Consider the following 23,707-nt stretch of genomic DNA (forward strand, 5'->3'; position numbering starts at 1 on the left):
ACTTAATTGAATGCCTCAGTTTTATTTTATTTTTTTTTAGGAGACAGAGTTTTGCTATGTAGCCCAGGAGTGCAAAGGCTATTCACAGGCATGATTATGGTGCACAAAAGCCTCGAATTCCTGGGCCCAGGTGATCCTCCTAACTCATCCTCCTGAGTAGCTGGGTCTACAAGTGTACGCTACCACGTTTAGCTCTGTTTTTTTTTTTGTTTTGTTTTGTTTTTTAATTTTGGACACGGTCTTTCTCTGTTGCTTGGGCCAGAGTGTGTGGTGCGGTGGCACGATCCTAGCTCACTGCAGCCTCGAACTCGGGCTCAAGTGATCCTTCTGCTTCAGCCTCCTAAGTAGCTAGGACTACAGGCACACGCCACCATGTCTGGCTAATTTTTAAAATTTTTGTAGAGATGGGGCCTTGCTGTGTTGCCCAAGCAGGTCTCGAACACCTGGGCCCTAGCACTCCTACTGACTTGGCCTCCCAAAGTGTGAGATTACAGGTGTGAGCCACTGTGTCTGGCGTTTTTTTTTTTTTTTTTTTTTTTGAGAGAGAGTCTCACTCTGTTGCCCAGGCTGGAGTGCAGTGGTGCGATCTCAGCTCACTGCAACCTCAGCCTCCTGGGTTCATGTAGTTCTCCTGCCTCAGCCACCTGAGTAGCTGGAATTACAGGCGTGCACCACCACTCCCAGCTAATTTTTGTTTTTTGTTTTTTGTGTTTTGTTTTGGAGACAGGGTCTCACTCTTTCACCCAGGTTGGAGTGCAGTGGCATGATCTCAGCTCACTGCGACTTCCACCTCCCAGGTTCAAGAGATTCTCCTGCCTCAGCCTCTGGAGTAGCTGGGATTACAGGCGCGCGCCACCACACCCGGGTAATTCTTGTATTTTTAGTAGAGATGGGGTTTCACCGTGTTGACCAGGCTGGTTTCAAACTCCTGGCCTCAAGTGATCCACCTGCTTTGGCCTCCCAAAGTACTGGGATTACAGGCATGAGCCACTGCACCCAGCTCTAATTTTTGTATTTTTAGTAGAGATGGGGTTTCACCATGTTGGCCAGGCTGGTCTCGAGCTCCTGACCTCGAGTAATACACCCGTCCTGGCCTCCCAAAGTGCTGGGATTACATGCATGAGCCACCATGCCCGGCCTGATTTTTTGTTTAGAGACAGTGTCTTGCTCTGTTGCCCAGGCCGGAGTGCAGTGGCGTGATCTCAGCTCACTGCAGCCTCCGCCTCCTGTGTTCAAGTGATTCTTGTGCCTCAGCCTCCCAAGTACCTGGGATTATAGGCATGCATCACCCTGCCCAGCTAATTTTTGTATTTTTAGTCAAGGCGGGATTTCACCATGTTAGCCAGGCTGGTCTGGAAGTCCTGGCCTCAGGTGATCTGCCCACCTTGGCTTCCCAAAGTGCTGAGATTACAGGTGTGAGCCACAGCGCCCAGCCACCTGGCCTGTTTTTAATTTTTGAGAATCAAGTTGCATAGCCATGAAGGTTAACAGTCGCCCAAAATTTAAATAAAATTATTGCAGGCCTATAATAAGTTAAATAGCTAAAATTTTAAATAATGACAGATTCAGTTTTTAGTGCTGATAGTGTTCTTTGATTTTGCAAACAAATGAGTATTTCTCAAATGGGAAGATGACTTATATGTTCTATGCTGTGAATAGATAGGTTTAGAATTACTTTCAGCACCGTTTTGTCTCCATTACAGTTAATTTTATGGGTGGGAGAGCAAAATCTAAATGGATGCACTGTCTGAGTACCAGAATGGAATGGAAAATTCCCAGACCATGGAACTGAGAAATGAGAATTAAGCAAGAACATTTGTTCCCTGGGGGCCTAGGCAGCCATACCCATTCTGTTTCCCTTTTCATTGTACCACCTCTCTGCCACCTCTGCCTCCTGGGTTCAAGTGATTCCCCTGCCTCAGCCTCCTGAGTAGCTGGGATTACAGGCACCTGCCACCCTGCCTGGCTAATTTTTGTGTTTTTAGTAGAGACGGGGTTTTACCATGTTGGCCAGGCTGATCTTGAGCTCCTGACCTCAAGTGATCTGCTTGCCTCAGCCTCCCAAAGTGAGGAGCCACCACTCCTGGCCAATTTTGTTTTTCATTTTAATTATAAAGTTTTTTTATGTAACTTTTTTATTTGTATACATTATTAGAGACAGAGTCTTGCTGTGTTGCCCAGGCTGATCTTTAACTCCTGGCTTCAAGCAGTCCTCCTGCCTTGGCCTCCCAGGGTGTTGGGATTATAGGCCTGAGCCACTACACCCGGCCTCATTTTAATTATATAGTTTTAAAAATCGTATTAAAACCTATTCTGTTTTCCTTGTTCATTATGGTTCTTAATATAGAAGTATTTTAGAATTCTTTTGACTGTTTTGATACATCTTCCCCCAAACTATCAGAAAAACAAGTTATTTGCCTTTTAATTTTTTTCTTATAGGAAATTCGGCGCCTTCATCAGTATGTGAAATTTGCTGTCCAAGATGTGAATGATGTTCTAGACTTGGAGTGGGATCAGCATCTGGAACAAAAGAAAAAACAAAGGTGAATGAGATCTCTCATCTGCAATGTGTTGGAATAGATATTGCTATTGCCATTTTAAAAAGGTTATTTAGGAACATATGAAAATCCCAGGCCGGGTGCGGTGGCTCACGCCTGTAATCCCAGCACTTTGGCAGGCCGAGGCGAGTGGATCACCTGAGATCGGGAGTTCGAGACCAGCCTGACCAACATGGAGAAACCCTGTCTCTACCAAAAACACAAAATTAGCCGGGCATGGTGGCACATGCCTATAATCCCAGCTACTATGGAGGCTGAGGCAGGAGAATCGCTTGAACCCAGGAGGCGGAGGTTGCAGTGAGCTGAGATCGTGCCACTGCCCTCCAGCCTGGGCAACAAGAGCGAAATTCCCATCTCAAAAAAAAAAAAACAAGAAAGAGAAAATCTCTACAAAACGTTCATTCTTTTTAACAGTCATTCTACTTGAAATATTTTTCTATAGAAACAACAAATGATACTCAGTAATTTACATAAAATAATTTATATTGCAGTATAATTTATGATAGTGAAAAATTGGATTCAGCCTAATTATCTAAAGGTACAGGAGTGGCTAAATAAATATGGTCGCTTTTTTTCTTAACTACAGAATACCCTGTAACCATTGACTAGCATGTTCTCCAATAAATTATTTAATATATTGAATACATATTCTATGTTCTACAAAATGTATGAATATATAACTATTTCGCTATAATTATTAGATGTAATATAAAAATTTAATAAGTAAAAAGACAAAAGCATATTGGCTAATAAGAATGTGGAGGTACAAAAGTAAATAGATGTAACAAAATATTCGTAGTTATATCTGCAAAACGGGATTAAGGAGAATTTTCCGTAATACTCTTCTGTATATTTCAAATTTTCTTTTTTAGAAAACATTTGTAATTAGTGTGGATAATTAAAAAGATGAGAGAAATGATGGCAAAGTAATGGGAAAACCTTTTAGCATAGTTTTTTATCCCTAGATATTTGGTTTTAAGCCACATATTTTCCACAAGGAGTAGAATGTCATGCACCATGAGAGCATGAAGTGCCCATTAGAAATTTGAAAAATGAATCAGCCATGAAATGTTAGATTTCTGAAACACCTACACTTGATTAATGATTAGCTAGCCCTGTATGAAAACAAACCAAGAAATGGTCTATTTGATGTACTTTTCAGTGGGACAACCTGGGTGTGATATCAGGGACAGGACTATAATATGCTTATAATTTAGTAAGCACAATTCAATAAATTACATTGTGTTATGTGGAGAAAGGCTAAAAATCCCAACTGGAGGACCCTCAGCTTGCAGCATAGATAGGTATAGGGAGATAGAAGTGAGAAGCTCTCCTCCGCCACTATCTAAGGGGAGAATTCTGTGGCCTGTGGACTGGAGCACTTGTCTCCATGGGCAGTGGGGCCCCATTAGAGAACTAGCTCACACACCTGGTTCTGATTCATGTTTAACCATATGGTTTGCTTTCCCACAAGGGAAACAATGGTCTAACCTTACAGTGGGTACATTCTGCTCTGCTCAATGGTTGTATTTCTTTTTGGTAATTAACAAGTTAGCCTTGTAAGAAAGTGCATGATGCTTAAAGAGAAGCCAAGCTTTTTTTTCCTTTGTAACAATTCTGTGGATTTACTACTTATGCTTTTCTGAGTTCTCTTTCTGCAGAGTTCAAATTCTTAAATCTGTACAATTTTCTATTTTGATAGCACTTCTCTGTTTCAGGGCCATCCCTGAATATTACCTTGAACCCTATTGAAATGCCTTTTTTTTTTTTTTTTGAGACTAAGTCTCGCTGTGTCACCCATATTGGAGTGCAGTGGCGCGATCTCGGCTCACTGCAACCTCCGCCTCCGGGGTTCAGGCGATTCTCCTGCCTCAGCCTCCTTGAGTAGCTGGGATTACAGGTGCGTGCCACCACACCTGGCTAATTTTTGTATTTTTAGTAGAGATGGGGTTTCACCATGTTGGTTAGGCTGGTCTCCAACTCCTGACCTCGTGATCCACCCACCTCGCCCTCCCAGAGTGCTGGGATTACAGGCGTGAGCCACCGCGCCTGGCCTGAAATGCCTTTTAAAAATTATATGTTGAACTACCTTGTTACCAGAGGCAGTCATTCAAGTCAGCCCTGAACTCAAAGAGGTAATGGGAAAAAGGGAAATAAATCCAGAGGTTTCTGTTTAGCAAGCATTTTTCATTCCATGATTTGTGTTGAGGCAAAATATACATAGAGTCACTTGTTGCTTAACGTGCGTTCTGAGAATTTCATTGTTAGGCGATTTTGTCATTATATGATCATCACAGAATGTGCTTACACTATGTGTACTTATTACCTAGATGACATCACCTATTACACACCTAGGCGCTTATGGTGTATAGCCTGTTGCTCCTAGACCACAGTACCATACAGCAAGCTTGTCCAACCCACGGCCTGCAGGCTTCATGTGGCCCAGGACAGCTTTGAATGCAATCCAACACAAATTCGTAAACTTTCTTAAAACATTCTGAGATTTTTTTGATTTTTTTTTTAAGCTTATCAGCCAGCATTAGTATATTTTATGTGTGGCCCAAGACAATTCTTCCTCCAGTGTGGCCCAGGGAAGCAAAAGATTAGACACCCCTGCTGTACAGCATGGTTTTGTACTGACTACTATAGACAATTGTAACACAAATCACTAGGCAATAGGAATTCAGCTCTACTGTAATCTTATAGGATCATCGTTGTATATGCAGTCCATCATTGACCAAAATGTCGTTATGTGGCACATGACTGTATTGACATACCATAGCAAAGAAAATTTGGTTTATAACTGATGTGGGATTATTCCTTATGTTTTTATATGTATGATTTTTCCTATCCCCTCTGCAAATTAATGCAGTCAGAAAAAAATTTCAAAGCTACTTAAAGATTTCTACTGAAAAGCGGAAGCAAATAGACCTGTCGCCCTCTACAGTCAGACCTACTTCCCAGAGGCAGCTACTGTTGTCTCTGTCTTGTTTTAGTTCTTTTGGGCAGGTTACCTTCCTGATGCTAAATCTTATGCTGTCCCCCTATTTCTTGACAATAGTCTGAAGAATTAACTGACTCCCATAGACTTCCAGTGAACCTTTTTTTTTTAATTGAATATAATTTACATTCAGAAAAACAGATAAATTCTAAGTAGAAAGCTGACTGGCTTTTTCCTGGTTCCTGACTCACACCTCACTCCTGCCCTTTTCTTCCCAGGGCCTCTCTCAGGTTTCACCTAATGTATGCTGTCCTTTGCTACAGGACTGGCCTGCCTGTTTCCAGCTGTTTTCTCCACATTCCATTTTATCTTCATTAGGCTTTCATCTCCTTTTTATTTTCTAGTAATTTCTTAATGGTTCTTGTCCAGTGCTGGTTCTCCATTTTATCATTTTCACTGTTACCATTGTAGTCTTGTTTGTTTTTTTACTGGGAGATTCCTTTACTTGAACCATTCATGTTTAATTCTTTTCTCATTGTTGTCAACAGGCACCTGCTTGTGCCAGAGCGAGAGACACTGTTTAACACCCTAGCCAACAATCGGGAAATCATCAACCAACAGAGGAAGAGGCTGAATCACCTGGTGGATAGTCTTCAGCAGCTCCGCCTTTACAAACAGACTTCCCTGTGGAGCCTGTCCTCGGCTGTTCCTTCCCAGAGCAGCATTCACAGGTGTGGAGAGGACTTGCACTCAATAAATATGGGTGAATGAATGCATGAACATTTAGGGAGTCTTAGAGTGGTTCAGATATGGGTTTGCAAGTGACTCTGTGTCTCTCACCTGTGTAATCCTGGTCAGGGTCCCACCCTCTCTGATCCTTTGTTTCTTTGCCTAAAAAATGAGGATGACAATACCTGCTTCGTGGGATTGTTGGAGAGTTAAATTAAGTCTGTAAAATATTACACTGATGAAATGGGTGCTGAATATATCATAGCAAGTGATACACCATAGTAACAGTGTCATGGTTTGATTGAAAATCAGCTGATAGGATTAAGTTGACTGACTTGTTTCTGAAGCCCAGATTTGCCATTCTGCTTGAATGGGGGGACTTTCAGACCCTGGCAGATTGACAGTTTGCCTTGAGTTTACCAAAATGGTTTTGTGTTTATGCTTTTAGGCCAAATGTATAAATTTTAATTACTTTTTCTACTGAGGCACCATCATGTTGTGTTTGAGGTGGAGATGGTATATAATATGATTGTGATCTCACTTCTTTTAGATTAATTCCATCAGTTGGTCAGATGGCATGTTTATATATTGGGGATATTCTCATGTCTTGCATTTATATTTAAGAGGATAGTGTACCCCCGACAGCCTCCGATCTTTCAGCTCCTAGTTGGTCTGTATCTAACACTGTTCTGTTTCAGTTTTGACAGTGACCTGGAAAGCCTGTGCAATGCTTTGTTGAAAACCACCATAGAATCTCACACCAAATCCTTGCCCAAAGTACCAGGTAATTGCATCCTTCCCAGTCTTTTAACTCCCTTTATTCTCTTCCAAGTACTGATATCTTAAAAACTGAGTCTTAATCATTTATGGGTTTATGGATTTCTTGCAGCCAAACTGTCCCCCATGAAACAGGCACAACTGAGAAACTTCTTGGCCAAGAGGAAGACCCCACCAGTGAGATCCACTGCTCCAGGTAAAGAGAACCAGTAACTGGGCCTGTACATAGTGATAGGGTGTGGTGGGGTGTGTGTGTGTGCGCGCGCACATGCACGTGTGCATGTGTGAGCTAGGGTGCTGTGTATGTGTGTGTAAGTGTGTGTGTGTTGGTTCTTAATAGGGGATAGAGAAAATGTCTCCAGAATCTGTTGTTAATCTGAATAGTGGAATAAGAACCAGCTTATATATACTTGATGAAGCAGCAAAGTAGTCGTTTTGGCTTTTACACTGTTTTCTGCAGTCCTCAAGTTTTATGGCACTGATTCACAAGGGTTTGAGATAGGCTGAGCTGGATCCTAGCCTCTGCTTTAGCCAGAGAAGGTTTACTTTTCTGATTTGTGTTGGGTTTTGAGTAAGTTTGCATCTGGGAAAAAGGCATTTTAAAAAATAAATAAATAATAGAAAAAAATAAAAGACGAGGTCTCCCCATGTTGCCCAGGCTGTTCTCAAACTCCTGGGTTCAAGTTATCCTCCTGCCTCAGCCTCCCAGAGTGCTGGGATTACAGGTATGAGCCACTGTGCCTTGCCGAAAAAGGCTTCTTTTATGAAAAAAGAAGAAAAAAATAAGATTAAGCAATGTTGATTAAAAATACTTACTTAAAAATACTTGCTTAAAGAAGCCATAAATTTTTTTCCCATTACATTACCTAGATAATAACTTCAATTTAAAGAAAAATTTGTGACAATTTTAGGCATAACTGCTTTGTTTTAGTATCCATATCCAAATTTTTCTTTGAGATTCTGTTTTCAGTTAAAATTTTTTTATGCCAATAACAAATGCTTTTGGTAATCAGAATAACTGAAAGAAATTTAATCTTACTGATTTATTTTTCTGTACTCACATAGAGCTAAATTAGATAAATAATAGTCACAGACAAGTTAATTTTCAAATAATTTTTCTTTACCTAAAGAATACATTCTCTTGGTAGGTAATTGGGAAAAATATGGAAAGTATAAAGGAGAATAAAAAATATTAGCTGAGTGCGGTGGCATGCACCTGTAATCTTAGCTCTTCAGGTGGCTGAGGCAGGAGGGTTGCTTGAGCCTGCAGCTGCAGTGAGCTATGGTCATGCCACTGCACTCCAGCCTGAGCAACAGAATCTCTAAAAAAAATTAAAAAGTTAAAAAATTACTCTCTCTCAACCCAGATATGGCCTCACTTAGTTATTTTGGTTTAGTTCCAAACTTTTTTCTTTGCATATGTAAATCTGATTTATTTTAAAATGAAATTGAGATTATAACAGTTTTGTGTCTTGATTTTTTTCTAATTTAAAATTCATGAGCCCTTACTATTAAACAAAATAAATGCTGGTGGTGAAGATATGGAAAAAATGGAAGCTTTGTGCACTATTGGTGGGAATGTGAAATGGTAAAGCCACTGTAGAAAACAGTTTGGTGGTTCCTCAAAAAATTAAAAATGTGATTACTGGATGATCCAGCAATTTCACTTCTGGGTATATACCCCAAATAATTGAAAATAAGGTTTCAAAGAGATACTTTTGTATCCATGCTCATGACAGCATTATTGGTAATAGCCAAGAGGTGGAAACAGTGTGTCTGTTAATGAATGAATGGATAAACAAAATGTCTGTCTATACAATGGAATATTATTCAGTCTTTAAAAAGGAATTTTTGACACATGTTACAATATAAGTGAACCTTGAGGACATTGTGCTAAGTGTCCTCAAATAGACAAATACTGTATGATTCCACTTATATGAAGTATCTAGAGACATCAAATTCATAGAGATGGAAACAAGAATAGGGGTTGCCTGAAGGACTGAGGTGGGGGGTCATGGGGAGTTATTATTTAATGGGTATAGAGTTTCAGTTTTGCACAGGGAAAATAGTTCTGGAGATGGATGGTGGTGATGATTACACAACAATGTGAATGTACTTAATACCAATGAACTGTGTACTTTAAAACACTTAAGATGGTAAATTTTATGTTACATTTTACCAAATTTTAAAAATTGGAAAAAAGATTTAAACTTAAAATCTTAACCTTTTCCTCTGCCTTCTGTGTTTAAATATTCTTTGAACACATGCCTTATAAAGACAGCACAATATTTCCTTGTATTAGAAGGCCATAATGCCTGTTGCTAATCTTGTTGCCAAAATTTTCTCAGAACGTCTTTGTTCACAAATCTTTAGCCCACATCAGATTATATATTTAGATAGAGTCCTTACAAGTGAGATTTATGTAATTTACTTATTCATTCATTCAATAAATATGATTGCCTAGTTTGTTCCAATCAGTGGTAAATAAGAGAAACATGGTCTCTGCCCACATGAAGCTTTTCATTTAAGAGGAGGAATTCAGACATTAAGCAGATAACTGCACATGATACTCATTTAATGTTAGTGGGCATGCTGGGAAGAATAACTCAGCATGTAAACACTTTGAATTTTTAAAATTGTGAAAAACAACACACATTAAGTGCACAAAACAAAAACGTATATCCCTGTAGCCTCTACCCAGGTCAAGAAACAGAATATTGCCGTTTTTTAGAAGCCCTCTTGCATACCCCAGTTTTCCTTCTTCCCCTAAGGCACGATTATATGGGCTTATGTGAGAGTTTTGCCTTTGCCTTTTTTTTTTAATTTGACATTTTTTGTTATTTTTAATTTATTATTTTGAAAAAATTGAAACTTCCAATTGCGAGTACAGTAAGCACCCACTTACCCCTCACCCATATGTTTACTACTGTTTGCCACAATTGTTGCTGAACTATCTGAGAATAAGCTGAAGACAACGCCCCTTATTCCTAAATATTTCAGCATGTGTCCTCCCAAGAACAAAGGTGCTCTCTTACACACCATAATACAGTTTGCAGGTTCAGGAAATTTAACGTATACAGTTATCTCATATACAGTTGATACTCAAATTTTGCCGGCTGTCCCACTTACCCCTACACGTTGATTGGATCTAGGATCCAATCCAGGATTCTGCATTGTGTAAGTTGTCATTCTCTTTAGTCGCCTTTTCTTTGTTTTCCTTCAGAGCTTTACTATGTAAGCATACCTCCCAAAACACTATGATTTGGTTTTGCCTGTTTTTGCATACCACATAAATCCATTCACTTAGTCTCTGGACAGGCTTCTCTTGTTCCACATCAGGCTTGTAAGATCCATCCGTGTTGTTGCCTCTAGCTGTTATTTTAGTTGCTCTGTATAGGATTCTATTGTATGAATATGCTGTATTTGTTTATTCATTTTCCTGTTGGACATGTGCTGCTTTCAGTTTATAGCTATTACAGAAAAGGTTCTGAATATTCCCGTGTGTGTCTCTCGGAGCACATGTGTACTTTTCATTTGGTTACATAGCTAGGAGTGGCATTGTTGGCTCATAGTCTGTCCATATGCTCAGCTTTCATAGACTCTGCCAGGCGGTTTTACTAAGTGGTTGTACTTTATCATCAGTAAATGAGTGTTACAGTTGTTCCACATCTTTGCCAAACTTGATATTGTCGGTCTTTTTTCTTTTAACTATTCTGGTAGGACTCTTTTGTAAAATGTTTTAACCATTTGGATATGTTCTTTTGTGGAGTACCGAATTAAATCTTTTGCTCATTCATTTATTATTGAATACTCTGTCTTATTGATTTGTACATGTTTTTATCAATTCTGGAGACCAGCCTTTGTTGGTTTTGTGAGTTGCAGATACTCACTTTGCCTTTTTGTCCTCTTAATTATGTCTTGGTGAACAGAAGTTCGTTTTTGTTTTTGTTTTTAGAAACAGACTCTTGCTCTGTTGCCCAGGCTGGAGTGTAGTGGTGCAGTCATAGCTCACTGCAGCCCCAACCTCCGTGGCTGAAGCGATCCTCCTGCCTCAGCCTCCTGAGTAGCTGGGACTATAGGCACAGGCCAGGCCACCATGCCCAGATAATTTTTTTAGTTTTTGTAGGAACATGGTCTTGCTGTATTGCTCAGGCTGATCTTGAACTCCTGGCCTTACGTGATCTTCCTGCCTCAGCTTCCCAAAGCGCTGGGATTACAGATGTGAGCAACTGTGCCCAGCCTGGTGAGCAGAAGTTCTTAATTGTAAAATAGTGAGATTTATCAGCCTTTTCTTTTATAGTTAGTACTTTTTGTGTTCTGTTTAAGAAATCCTCTATCTCTAGGTAATGAAAGTAGGTATGCACCTTTATTATCTTCCAGAAACATTTAAGTTTGTCTTTCACAATTGGATCAACTTTATTGAGGTATAATTTACATATAAAACTCACCTGCTGGTAGCTGGGTGCTTTTTACTAAGTTTACAGAATTGTATACCCATCACCACATTTCAGTTCTAGAACATTTCCATCACTTAAAAAGTTTCCCCAAGCTTGTTTGCAGTCAATTCTTGTTCTACCCAAGCAACCACTGATCTGCTTTCTTTCTTCTTGGATCTGCCTTTTTAAAGAAATTGCATATATTATGGAGTCTGATAGTGTTTGGGTTTAGGTTCTTTCACTTAGCATGTTTTTGTTGTTCACCCATGATATGTACCATGTATCATTAGTTCATTCCATTTTGTCATTGAACAGTATTCCACTGTATAGATATATTTAGTTCACCCTATCAATAATTGATTTTTGTGTGTGATATAAGGTATGGCTCATGTGTCATTTTTTTGTGTTTGGATATCTGCTTGTCCTAACACTATTTATTGAAAAGACTCTCCTCCCTGCTTAGCAGGGCCACTTTTATTATAAATCGTTTATCCCTATACATGTATGTTTGTTGGTCTCATACACTGATTAGAAAGCACTACTGCCACACTGCCTTAATTAGTGCTCAAATAAGTCTCAATACTGTTCTCTTGCTAGATTCTAGAGGTGTTCTGTCCAATATGGTATTCTGCTTACTTTGTTTTTTTTTGTTTTTTTTTTTTTTTTGGAGACAGAATCTCGCTCTGTTGCCAGGCTGGAGTGCAGTGGCATGATCTCAGCTCACTGCAACCTCTGCCTCCTGGGTTCAAGCAATTCTCCTGCCTCAGCTTCTTAAGTAGCTGGGACTACAGCTGCGTGCCACCAAGCCCAGCTAATTTTTTTGTATTTTTAGTAGAGATGGGGGTTTCACCGTGTTGGCCAGGATGGTCTCGATCTCCTGACCTTGTGATCCGCCTGCCTCAGACTCCCAAAGTGCTCGGATTACAGGTGTGAGCCACCACGCCCAGCCTCTGCTTACATTTAAATTAAATAAAATTGCAAGGCAAGGTGGTGCATGCCTGTAATCCCAGCTGTTTTGAGGAGGCTGAGGCAGGAGGATCACTTGAGCCCAAGAGTTCGAGGCCAGCCTGGGAAAGGAGTGGTGAGACCCTGTCTCAGATAAATATATAAATTTTAAAAAGAAAAATAAGTAACATTTAAAATTTAGTTTTGCAATCCCAGTAGCCACATTTCAAGTGCTCAGTAGGCACATGTGACTAATGGCTACTGTAATGGCAAACACGTATAAAGAACATTTCATCATTGCAGAAAGTTCTACAATTCAGAGTAGGGGTTGGCAGATTTTTCTGTAAGGGGCCAGCTGGAGAATAGTTGAGGTTTGCAGGTGCTGTGGTTTCCATTGCACCTACCTAACTCTGCTGTTGTAATGGGAAAGCAGCCACAGACCATGTGATGAGAGGGGCATGTCTGTGTTTCAGCAAAACTTTATATTTCTGCAAAGAGACAGCTGGTCTATGGTTGTAGTTTTCTGACTCCTGCTCTAGAATGTTTTGCCTTTCTTGGTGTTTTACATTTTCATATTAACCTTAAAATTGTCTTGTTAAATTCTACCTCCCTGTACCTAGAGTAGTCAAAACTATAGAGACAGAACTAGAATGGTGGCTGCCGGAAGCTGGAGGAGGGAAAATGGGGAGTTAGTGTTTCATGGGGATGAAGTTTCAGTTCGGGAAGATGAAAACGTTCTGGAGATAGATGGTAGTCACGGTTATACAACATTAGGAATGTATTTATGCCATGGAACTGTACACTTTAAAATGTGACTATGGTGCATTTTATGTCATGTATATTTTACCACAATAAAAAAATAAATAAATAAAAAAGAAGGGAGGCAGGAGAATCGCTTGAACCCGGGAGGCAGAGGTCGCAGTGAGCCGAGATCATGCCGTTGCACTCCAGCTTGGGCAACAAGAGCGAAACTCCGTCTTTAAAAAAAGAAAGTTTTGGGGGAGGAATTTTGCCTTCCTCAGCCTTCAAAGGAAAGTTGAGATTTTGATTGGAATTGTATTGAGTCTCTAGATCAACTTGAGAATTGACATTTGTGCAGTAGTGAACTCTCAGTTCCTGAACTGGGTACATATTTGTATATTTGGGTGTTCTTTAATTTCTCTTAATGTTTTCTGCGTGGGAGACATGCACATCTTTTGTTAGATTAATTGCTAAAAATTTAATTGCAAAAATTTGTTGCTCTTATAATGGTAGATTTTTTTTCCTTAAATTTTATGGTTTATGTTGGATGTAGTATCGAGAAATACCATTGATTTATGTGTATTTACTTACAGCCAACAACCTGGCAGAATTCATTTATTCTAACACGTCTGTAGCTGTTTCTTGGCCTTGTAACTATGGAAACAATGAAATCCTCCATGGATACTAATGGTGACGTTTCTGCCTTTCCAGTCCTTTTGTTATTATTATTATCATTATTATTATTATTATTATTTTACCTTACTTCACTGGCTAGAACCTCCAGTGCAGCGTAAAAGTGTCGTGTAGCTCTCCTTGATCTCAAAAGGAGCACTTTCTATAGTTCATCCTAAGATGTGAGGTTTGCTGCATCTACTGAGATGATCATATGACTTTCTATCCTTTTGTCTCCCCACCCTCCCTGCCCTCAGTCATGTAGCTTTCTACCTTTCCTTATCTGACGTAGAGTGTAAACAGAATAAGATTCTTTAAATTTCAGTGGGACGCTCTTTCTAATGCCAGGCAGTTAGCTGCATCCTTGATCACAGCAGAGAGCAGCACCCATTAATGGTGGAGGCAGCACCATTGGCATAGTGAGCAGTCCATGCCCCATGCTTCTGTGAGTGAGCATGCCCATTGCATCTTTCAGTTGATGGGGTTCCTCCACCGAAGGCAGGTAAATTGCCTCAGAAAGGTGAAGGAAGGAACTAAGAGTACCTTCATGTTACATAGGACCTTGGAGGTTACATAGTTATTCCAGTGTCTCTTTCTGTCTAGTTCTTGAAGGTGATGTGATTATTTGAGTCATCTTTTATTGTTACTATCAGGAACTACAATAGGATTTTGGAGAAATTATGGAGAGAAATTTGGCCCCAAGAAAACATGGGTTTGTATTAGTTTCCTATGGATGCCGTAACAAATTATCACAAACCTAGCGGCTTAAAACAGTACCTAGTTGTTATCTCACAGGAAGATTTTCTTTTTTTTTTTTTTTTTTGTTATACTTTAAGTTTTAGGGTACATGTGCACAATGTGCAGGTTAGTTACATATGTATACATGTGCCATGCTGGTGTGCTGCACCCATTAACTTTTCATTTAGCCTTAGGTATATCTCCTAATGCTATCCCTCCCTCCTCCCCGCACCCCACAACAGTCCCCAGAGTGTGATATTCCCCTTCCTGTGTCCATGTGTTCTCATTGTTCAATTCCCACCTGTGAGTGAGAACATGCGGTGTTTGGTTTTTTGTCCTTGCAATATTTTACTGAGAATGATGATTTCCAATTTCATCCATGTCCCTACAAAGGACATGAACTCATCATTTTTTATGGCTGCATAGTATTCCATGATGTATATGTGCCACATTTTCTTAAACCAGTCTATCATTGTTGGACATTTGGGTTGGTTCCAAGTCTTTGCTATTGTGAATAGTGCCGCAATAAACATACGTATGCATGTGTCTTTATAGCAGCATGATTTATAGTCCTTTGGGTATATACCCAGTAATGGGATGGCTGGGTCAAATGGTATTTCTAGTTCTAGATCCCTGAGGAATCGCCACACTGACTTCCACAATGGTTGAACTAGTTTACAGTCCCACCAACAGTGTAAAAGTGTTCCTATTTCTCCACATCCTCTCCAGCACCTGTTGTTTCCTGACTTTTTAATGATTGCCATTCTAACTGGCGTGAGATGGTATCTCATTGTGGTTTTGATTTGCATTTCTCTGATGGCCAGTGATGGTGAGCATTTTGTCATGTGTTTTTTGGCTGCATAAATGTCTTCTTTTGAGAAGTGTCTGTTCATGTCCTTCACCCACTTTTGGATGGGGTTGTTTGTTTTTTCCTTGTAAATTTGTTTGAGTTCATTGTAGATTCTGGATATTAGCCCTTTGTCAGATGAGTAGGTTGTGAAAATTTTCTCCCATTTTGTAGGTTGCCTGTTCACTCTGATGGTAGTTTCTTTTGCTGTCTCACAGGAAGATTTTCTGTGATGATGGAAATGTTCTGTATCTTTGTTGTCCAACAGGGTAGCTACTAGCCACATGTGGCTGTAGAGGACATGAAATGTGGATAGTGCAATCGAGGAATTGATTTTTCATTAATTTGCTTTTGATTACTTTAAATTTAAATAACCACATATGGCTACTGGCTACCAAATTGGCTAAGACAGCCGTAGCACATAGCATTGGTTTTTAGTGGCATTTGTTTATGTTATACTTACATTATGACAATAAAATCTTGCAGAGCCATGTGCACATGGGACACAAAAGTCAATAAATATTTGCAGAGCCATTTTAAATAACTTGGGGAGGGAAGAAAAAGGGCTAGATTATTTTGTTTGGTTTTTGTTTTTTCCAATATACAGGAAGTATTCACTTGCATTCTGAAATTTATGATAGAAAGTTAACATGACATAAAGCCTTACTCTTCGTAGTCTAAACAGAAGGCCGGGATTCAGTTCAATTCAATTCTATTTTCTCTTTTGGGTTTTTCTTGTTGTTATTTGAGAAGGAGTCTCACTCTGTTGCCCAGGCTGCAGTGCAATGGTGCAATCTGGGCTCACTGCAACCTCCACCTGCCGGGTTCAAGCGATTCTCCTGCCTCAGCCTCCTGAGTAGCTGGGAGTACAGGTGTGCACCACCACGACTGGCTAATTTTTGTATTTTTTAGTAGAGATGGGGTTTCACCATATTTGCCAGGCTGGTCTTGAACTCCTGTCCTGGTGATCTGCCCGCCTCAGCCTCCCAAAGTGCTGGGATTACAGGCTTGAGCCACTGCACCCAGCCTTTTTTTTTTTTTTTTTTTTTTTTGAGACAGAGTTTCACTCTGTTACCCTATTTTTTGTAGAGACAGGGTCTCACTATGTTGCCTAAGCTGGTCTTGAACTCCTGGCTTCAAGCAGTCCTCCTGCCTCAATCTCCCAAAGTGCTGGGATTATAGGCCTGACCCACTGCACCCAGTCTCTTGTATTTTTTTTTTTTAAACCTAATTGTCTGAATCAGAAGAATCATTAGATTTATCTGGAAATGTTCGAGACACTCAGGACCGAGGACATTCTTTCTAATCCATTTTGCGTTGGACCTGTTCTTAGAAGCTTATCATTGGAAGGTGACAGTAATGGTGTGATTGTTCACCCCACCATGGAAACTTGCCTGTTACATTTCTAGTATATTATTATTATACTAGTGAGGGCTCCAGGCTTCTACTTTGACACCAGCATTAATTCTGTCTCTTACTTTTTCACATTCTTTTAACAGCCCCAAGATGTTCTCGTTCACACACCTCAGTTTCTCAAATCCCCATCTGAGCAAAGACCCAAAACCATTTTTGTTCACATTTGACAATACCTGCTCCCACTTAAAATAAGTAATAATTAAATCATTTTACAAGTTGAGTATTTTTTTTTTTTATCAACAGTGAAAATTACTTAGCTTTTGGGCTTGCTTTGAGTTGTCTAAATTGTGTTTTGTTTGGGGCTTTTGTAGCCAGCCTGTCTCGATCAGCCTTTCTGTCTCAGAGATATTATGAAGACTTGGATGAAGTCAGCTCAACGTCATCTGTCTCCCAGTCTCTGGAGAGTGAAGATGCACGGACGTCCTGTAAAGATGACGAGGCAGTGGTTCAGGCCCCTCGGCACGCCCCCGTGGTTCGCACTCCTTCCATCCAGCCCAGTCTCTTGCCCCATGCAGCACCTTTTGCTAAATCTCACCTGGTTCATGGTTCTTCACCTGGTGTGATGGGAACTTCAGGTAAGTAAACAGTGGGAAAGGAAACTGTTTTTCCCTATGATGTTTCTAACTAATGACGGAATTGTAACTGGGTCTTATACTGTCACACCAATATGGTGGTTGGCTCCAGCCCACTTTTTTTTTTTTTTCTTTTTTTCTTTTTTTTTTTGAGGTGGAGTCTCACTCTGTTGCCCAGGCTGGAGTGTAATGGCGCGATCTAGGCTCACTGCAACATCCACCTCCTGGGTTCAAATGATTCTCCTGCCTCACCCTCCCAAGTAGCTGGGATTACAGGCGTGCACCACCACGCCTGGCTAATTTTTGTATTTTTAGTGGAGACGGGGTTTCACCATGTTGTGTTGGCCAGGCTGGTCTCAAACTCCTGACCTCAGGTGATCCACCTGCCTTGGCCTCCCAGAGTGGTAGGATTACAGGCATGAGCCACTGCACCTGGCTGCTCAACTCACTTCTGCTTATATTCTAGAAATTAGAAGACTGATTGAAAAGATGTGTGTTCCCCTTGAAAGCAGTTGCTAGGCCATTGTGAGGAAGGAGATGGCTCTCCAAGTTTATGCGCTATAACAGTTTTTCTGCTGAGCCAGCTTGTTTTTTAAAACAGATCTTTTTCAGAAGTAAAAGGGGGCTGTTTGCTTCAGTTATAAAGCAACATCCACACTCATATCTTTTAAATCCTGGCTCATTTCAGCCTGACTTGTGGCATATTCTGCCTCAGAACTCACCAGCTCTGATGCTTGTGGTCAGTATTGGCTCACTGTACTGACAGGTGTTGTGCCCCCACACTTTCAGTACAGTGTCAGGGCTTTGCATCAAAGTGACTTCCAGCAGAGAAAAATACCAGTGTTAGGTACTAGAATGAAGAGAATTTGTGAGAGGGGATCAGGGAATTGGTCTATGTTGGTATAAAAGTTGTATCTCAATCAGTATCAGGAAATGATGATGTATCTTAGTAGAGGTGGGTAGGCAAATTTCATGCGATAACTGAAAGATATAGATGCCAGCCTGTTAGTTTACTGGTACTTTTCTATGTTAACGCTAATTTTAGCATTTTCCCTGCAGTCGAACATAAAGAATTTACCAATTTAACCTTTTGTATTTTCCTGTTCTCTCACCCACTCACACTTAATTTTTCTTTTCCTCTTAGTGGCTACATCTGCTAGCAAAATTATTCCTCAAGGGGCCGATAGCACAATGCTTGCCACGAAAACCGTGAAACATGGTGCACCTAGTCCTTCCCACCCCATCTCAGCCCCGCAGGCAGCTGCCGCAGCAGCACTCAGGCGGCAGATGGCCAGTCAGGCACCAGGTAAAAGCTGTAGCCCCATACCTGTACAGAGGCTGATTATGAGCTGTCTGAGTCACAGGCCAGGACAGCAGGTGGCAAGAAACAGTGGGCGCTCTTTGGTGCCCTTCAGAAGAGAAGATTGATGTGACAGCCCTCTCCCCTTTGTGGAGAGAGTTCTAAGAAAGCAGAGACTAGGTCTGAAAATCTTTGCTTTTAAGGGGAGGGATTAGAACTGCCACATTTAGTTAAGGTGGAAATCAGTGGGGTTTGTTTTTTTTTTTAAACAAAATTGCTAATCCTACTTTTGAATAATGTCTGCTTAGAGCCCTAAAATTATAACCTTTGAAATTCGATCATCGAATAACACTAGCGTCATCTCTTAGTATCTTACAGATTGCAGCTACCCCAAGAGGTAGGTATTTGAATGGCTATTTTGGCTGGGCATAGTGACTCATGCCTGTAATCCCAGCACTTTGGGAGGCTGAGGTGGGAGGATCACTTGAGGCCAGGAGTTTGAGACCACCCTAGGCAACATAGTGAGACCTCATCTCTAAAACAAAACAAACACAAACAAACAAAAAGAATGACCATTTTGTGTTTGAGTAATCTGAAGTTCAGAGAGGTGAAGGTTATCCCACCAATAAGTAGCAGAACCCAGACTCTAACCCTCTGCTCTTTTTCAGTTGAGCATTTTTTCTTCTCCAACTATATCTTGCATGAAGCTTTTTTTTTTTTTCTTTTGAGACAGGGTCTCACTGTGTTGCCTAGGCTGAAGGACACTGGTGCGATCACGGCTCGCTGCAGCCTCCGTGATCTCCCGAACCCAGGTGACCTTCCCACCTCAGCCTCCTGGATAGCTAGGACTACAGGCATGCACCACTACACCAGGCAAATATTTAAAAAATTTTTGTAGAGACAGGATTTCACCATGTTATCCAAGCTGGTCTCAAACTCCTGGGCTCAAGTGATCCACCCGCCTCTACCTCCCAAAGTGCTGGGATTATAGGCATGAGCCACTGCTCCTGACCAAAGCTTTTTTTTTAACATTGTAAAATTTAACTTTTACAGAAGGAAGCGCTAATAAGTCAGTTAGCACTTAACATTTCGTCAGTGGCTTGTCATTATCCCAAACTTTCTACTACTTTCTACGTTAATGTACATTGTACATTAGGATTTTACAGTCTGCGTAGTTGGTCTCAAGGACTTCAGTTATCACTAGTTATCAGTTTTATAAGCTAGTAGTTCTCAACTAGAGGCTGCCCCCACTTCCCTGTCCTCCACCCCTGAAACAGTTGGCAGTGTTGCTGGCATTTAGTGGGTAGAGGCCAGGAATGCTGCAAAAAAAAAATCTTTAAAATGCATAAGACACCCCCACAACAAAGGGTTATCTAGCCCCAAAATGTCAGTAGTGCCAGGGTCAAGAAACAGATATAAGCCAAATATTTTCATTTTAGCTGAGTAAAATTATTTTTTAGATGTATCACTGCTTACAACACTTATCAATTTAGAGTTTTTTTTAAAGACTAAAAAGACATAATAGTTTGATTTAGGAAAAAAGAACTAACATTAAACAGTGATAAGTCAAAAGATTGTAAAGAAAAATTCAAATATTAAAACCTTTATTAAGACATCTAACATATATATTGAAGAACAAAACAAAGATAACTTTTGAGGTACCTTTGGGCTTTCTAAAAATAGAATTCTTTGATCTCTTTAAATATTACTTGGACCAGGTAGAATCTTGCCATTGTGCTGAACAGGCCTGAAATCAAGTTGATCAAGTCAATGATCTGTAAAACGTTAAAATCTATTAGGATTGAGGATTGTTCCACTCAGCAGAAGGTGGTGTGATCTGTATTATCATGTTGGATGCAAAAATTTCTAAGGTATAGGCACCTTTGAATATGAAATATGAAAGATGTGCAGTCGTGGGCAAGATGTTCTGGTCACTTCTTTGAAAGAGGGAATAAAAGAGAATTAACTACAGGTCTGTCATTCTGCTTGTGATAACCACTTTCACCTTGGCCAGTGATGCAGTTAGTAATGAGCCACAAGCTTTGCTCAGGCTTCCTTAATTGCTAATTATAGAATGTCATTAAGTCTTTTGGGATACAATTTACAATTATAAGACGAAAGCTGATGAGGAGGTGTCAGATATATGCCTCTTAGTCTCTTCTCCCATTATTGTCCAAGCTCCATTTTCCACATTTTATTCATTATGCCTTTCTGTCTCACTAGGCCATGAGTTTCTTTAGAGAAGAAACTATAGATACATTTTGTATTCGCAGCCCCTAACACAGAGCCTGGCACATAATAAGCCCATGTTAAAGAAAGACAGTGAATGAGTGGCAGAAATCCTGAGTCTAGATGCTGTTAATCCTCTAGCTCAAGCTGCCCTTTTCCAGGACAGACCAGCAGTGTGGCAGGTGTCTCAGCTCTGTGTAGAAAAGCTGGCCAGAGAATTCTTTTCCCCTACTCTAGTACATTCGATTCAGTTACAGGAAGCCTTGTTCCATCACCTGTGTTAATGGAGTAGGCCAGGTGTTCCTTTGAACACAATGCTGCAAGAACTACCTAGAGTAGATTTCCTTCACATGATAAGGCTCTAATCTGCTTGGGCTCATGTCTTGGTTTTTCATTTATATGTGGCTAGAACTTTTTATCCTTTGCTGGAATTAATATGGTGTTCTCTCTTCTCTGTTTAAATTAGCTGTAAACACTTTGACTGAATCAACGTTGAAGAATGTCCCTCAAGTGGTAAATGTGCAGGAATTGAAGAATAACCCTGCAACCCCTTCTACAGCCATGGGGTATGTTCTGACTGCAGTGTGTTTCAGCCCCTGGCTGCTTCTGTAGTAGCGGTGGACTGCCTGCAGGGAGCAGCAGTGCCACTGTCACAGTCTGGTTTTCCTGCACCGCCTTAGGTTATAAGGGGGGTGGCGGCTAAGCCTGCCTACACAATGCATTTTCAGGAGACTGTCCTTTTTAACTGGCCGGTGACAGTTGCCTCACAAACTTTTAAAGTTTGTCTTGATGCTGTATGCTCAGTTTCTGTTTGCCATGTGTAAGTCTCTGTGTGGTACACATTAGGTGTGCAGGTTGATTTTTTTTTTTTTTTTAATGCCCTAGGGGTTCCAGAGTTGATGCTTTGGGTCTCATGCAGACTTGATTCTGGAAACTGTAATCTCAAGGGTGACACTCTCCTCCCTCACTTCCCTTCTCCAGGCATTTCTGTTCTTCCCATTTCTTTTGCTTTTGTATAAAAGACAGCACCTCTGTTTGGAGACTTTAGCTTCTCTGCCATGCCATGTTTGAGGGCTGGATTGTTGCTGGTGGAGCTCACTTGTTTTTTTGGTGGTGGTGGTGGTTTTGTTGTTGTTGTTGTTGTTGTTTTTTGTTTTTTGTTTTTTCTTAGACAAGGTCTCACTCTTGCCCAGACTGGAGTGCAGAGTGCAGTACGATCATGGCACACTGTAGCCTTAACCTTCTGGGCCCAAGCCATGCTCCCATATCTGCCTCCCAAGTAGCTGCTGGGACTACAGGCACATGACACCACACCCAGCTAATTTTTTAATTTTTTGTAGAGATGGAGTTTTTGCCATGTCACCCCAGGCTGGTCTCAAATTTCTGGGCTCAAGTGATCCTCTCACCTCATCCTCACAAAGTGCTGTGATTATAGGCAGGAGCCACTGTGCCCAGCCTAGCTCATTTGTCTTTAGTCCTCATCTGTGTTCGGAATTCAGGGTGCTGACTCCCTCCCGCTGCCCTGGGCAGGTTCGCAGAACATGCCTGTGCCCTGCTTTGCCCTGCATATTTTGTGACTGTGATCCCTTTAGACCAACCACCATCCCCTGTGGCAAAGGGAAGAGTTGAGGGACATTTCCTCACTTGGAACATGGGGATCTTGAGGACTAGTATCAGATTTCAGGGAGTTAGTGTCTGGTACCCATGATTAGTCTAGCAGCAAGAAGGGCAGCCATAGACCTTGTGGTTCTCCACAGCGTGCCCACCCTCTGCCATTGCACAGAGCAGATCTGCCCACGGTTCTGTTTTCCCTCTCTCAAGTGGCCCTGCCTCACTGGTCCGCTGGCCTCTTTTTTTCCATGTTGTTCTGTTTATCAACACTGCTTGTTTGAGGAATTTTTAGTTATCTCAGGGCCATACTAACAGCCAAAAAACAAGCCTTCTCTATTACTATTTTGTAGTGACCTCGGAGCCTTGGTATGCTGTTTAGACCAAGATGGTATTTGTGGTTGTTGCAAGCTTTTCAAGGGAAAGAACTATGCATTAGAGTTTGGGAATTGTAGCCAGATTCCCAGCATAGGGAAGGCAAGGCAGAATGTTACATAAGATGGGAAAACTCAGCATATGGTACAGGAAGTATTGTCTAGTGTTTCTGAGATATATTAGGTGCTAACCATGTATGAGAAGCACCTTTTGGAGATTCCACTTCTCCTTTTCTCAAGCTTCATTTCCCTAAATGGTTCATCTGAGCTGATCTTTGATGAAGGGTTTGTTCAAGGAGTAATTTTGAGTCTACTCTTTCTGACAAAAAATCTCAGACAACTTAAGAAATCTTGAAGAAACTTTCTGTTCCATTCTCCACAGAATTAGACTCTGGTATAATTATTTCATGTGTATGCCCAGCATGGTGCCTGAAATGTAGAAGCATTCCTTTCAATAATCATTTATTGAATAATAGGTAAACTCTACTCCAAACATAAATTGAAAAGTGAAAATTGGTGTTTACTGCCACCCCTCCCCAGGAAAGATCGAGAGAATATGTTCATTGTAAAATGACTTGCTTTCAGATTCTTTTATGTTTTATTTTTAAAATTATTTTCAGCCAGCTCTCGTGGAACAGATTCTTTTAAACAGTAGTTTCCTAAGTGTATTTTAAGTATTTAATTTTGCAGTTAGCTTTTTCTCAGTGGTATCTACAGAAGATTCATCATAGGATGAGCTTACATATTTCTGCCATTGGTGTACTTTATGTTCATTGGCCTCATCCATTCAGTTCGTTGGAAGAGTGTTTATCTGGCGCCAACCC

The 23,707-nt window shown here is 40.7% G+C and overlaps 1 protein-coding gene across 2 annotated transcripts in view, besides 1 other annotated feature; it reads left to right on the forward strand.

Moving 5' to 3' along the window:
* Positions 1-23,707, forward strand: part of NUP214 (nucleoporin 214) — a 109,078-nt gene that overhangs the window by 31,358 nt on the left and 54,013 nt on the right. For both annotated transcript variants that reach the window (NM_005085.4, NM_001318324.2), the window contains exons 18-24: positions 2,440-2,543; positions 6,048-6,230; positions 6,927-7,012; positions 7,118-7,201; positions 17,112-17,375; positions 18,517-18,678; positions 21,368-21,467. In NM_005085.4, the coding sequence (NP_005076.3) occupies positions 2,440-2,543; positions 6,048-6,230; positions 6,927-7,012; positions 7,118-7,201; positions 17,112-17,375; positions 18,517-18,678; positions 21,368-21,467 (983 nt within the window). The remainder of the gene's footprint in view (positions 1-2,439; positions 2,544-6,047; positions 6,231-6,926; positions 7,013-7,117; positions 7,202-17,111; positions 17,376-18,516; positions 18,679-21,367; positions 21,468-23,707) is intronic.
* Positions 21,404-21,653: an enhancer blocking element, noted in NCBI's record as "candidate insulator 9-3; strong CTCF association in K562 cells". NCBI's record gives its function as "blocks activity of the beta-globin HS2 enhancer when located between the enhancer and the Agamma-globin gene promoter in a lentiviral reporter assay in K562 erythroleukemia cells {active_cell/tissue: K562}" and the evidence as "EXISTENCE:reporter gene assay evidence [ECO:0000049][PMID:24098520]".

Source organism: Homo sapiens, chromosome 9 (assembly GCF_000001405.40).
Source record: "Homo sapiens chromosome 9, GRCh38.p14 Primary Assembly".
Taxonomy (NCBI): Eukaryota; Metazoa; Chordata; class Mammalia; order Primates; family Hominidae; genus Homo; species Homo sapiens.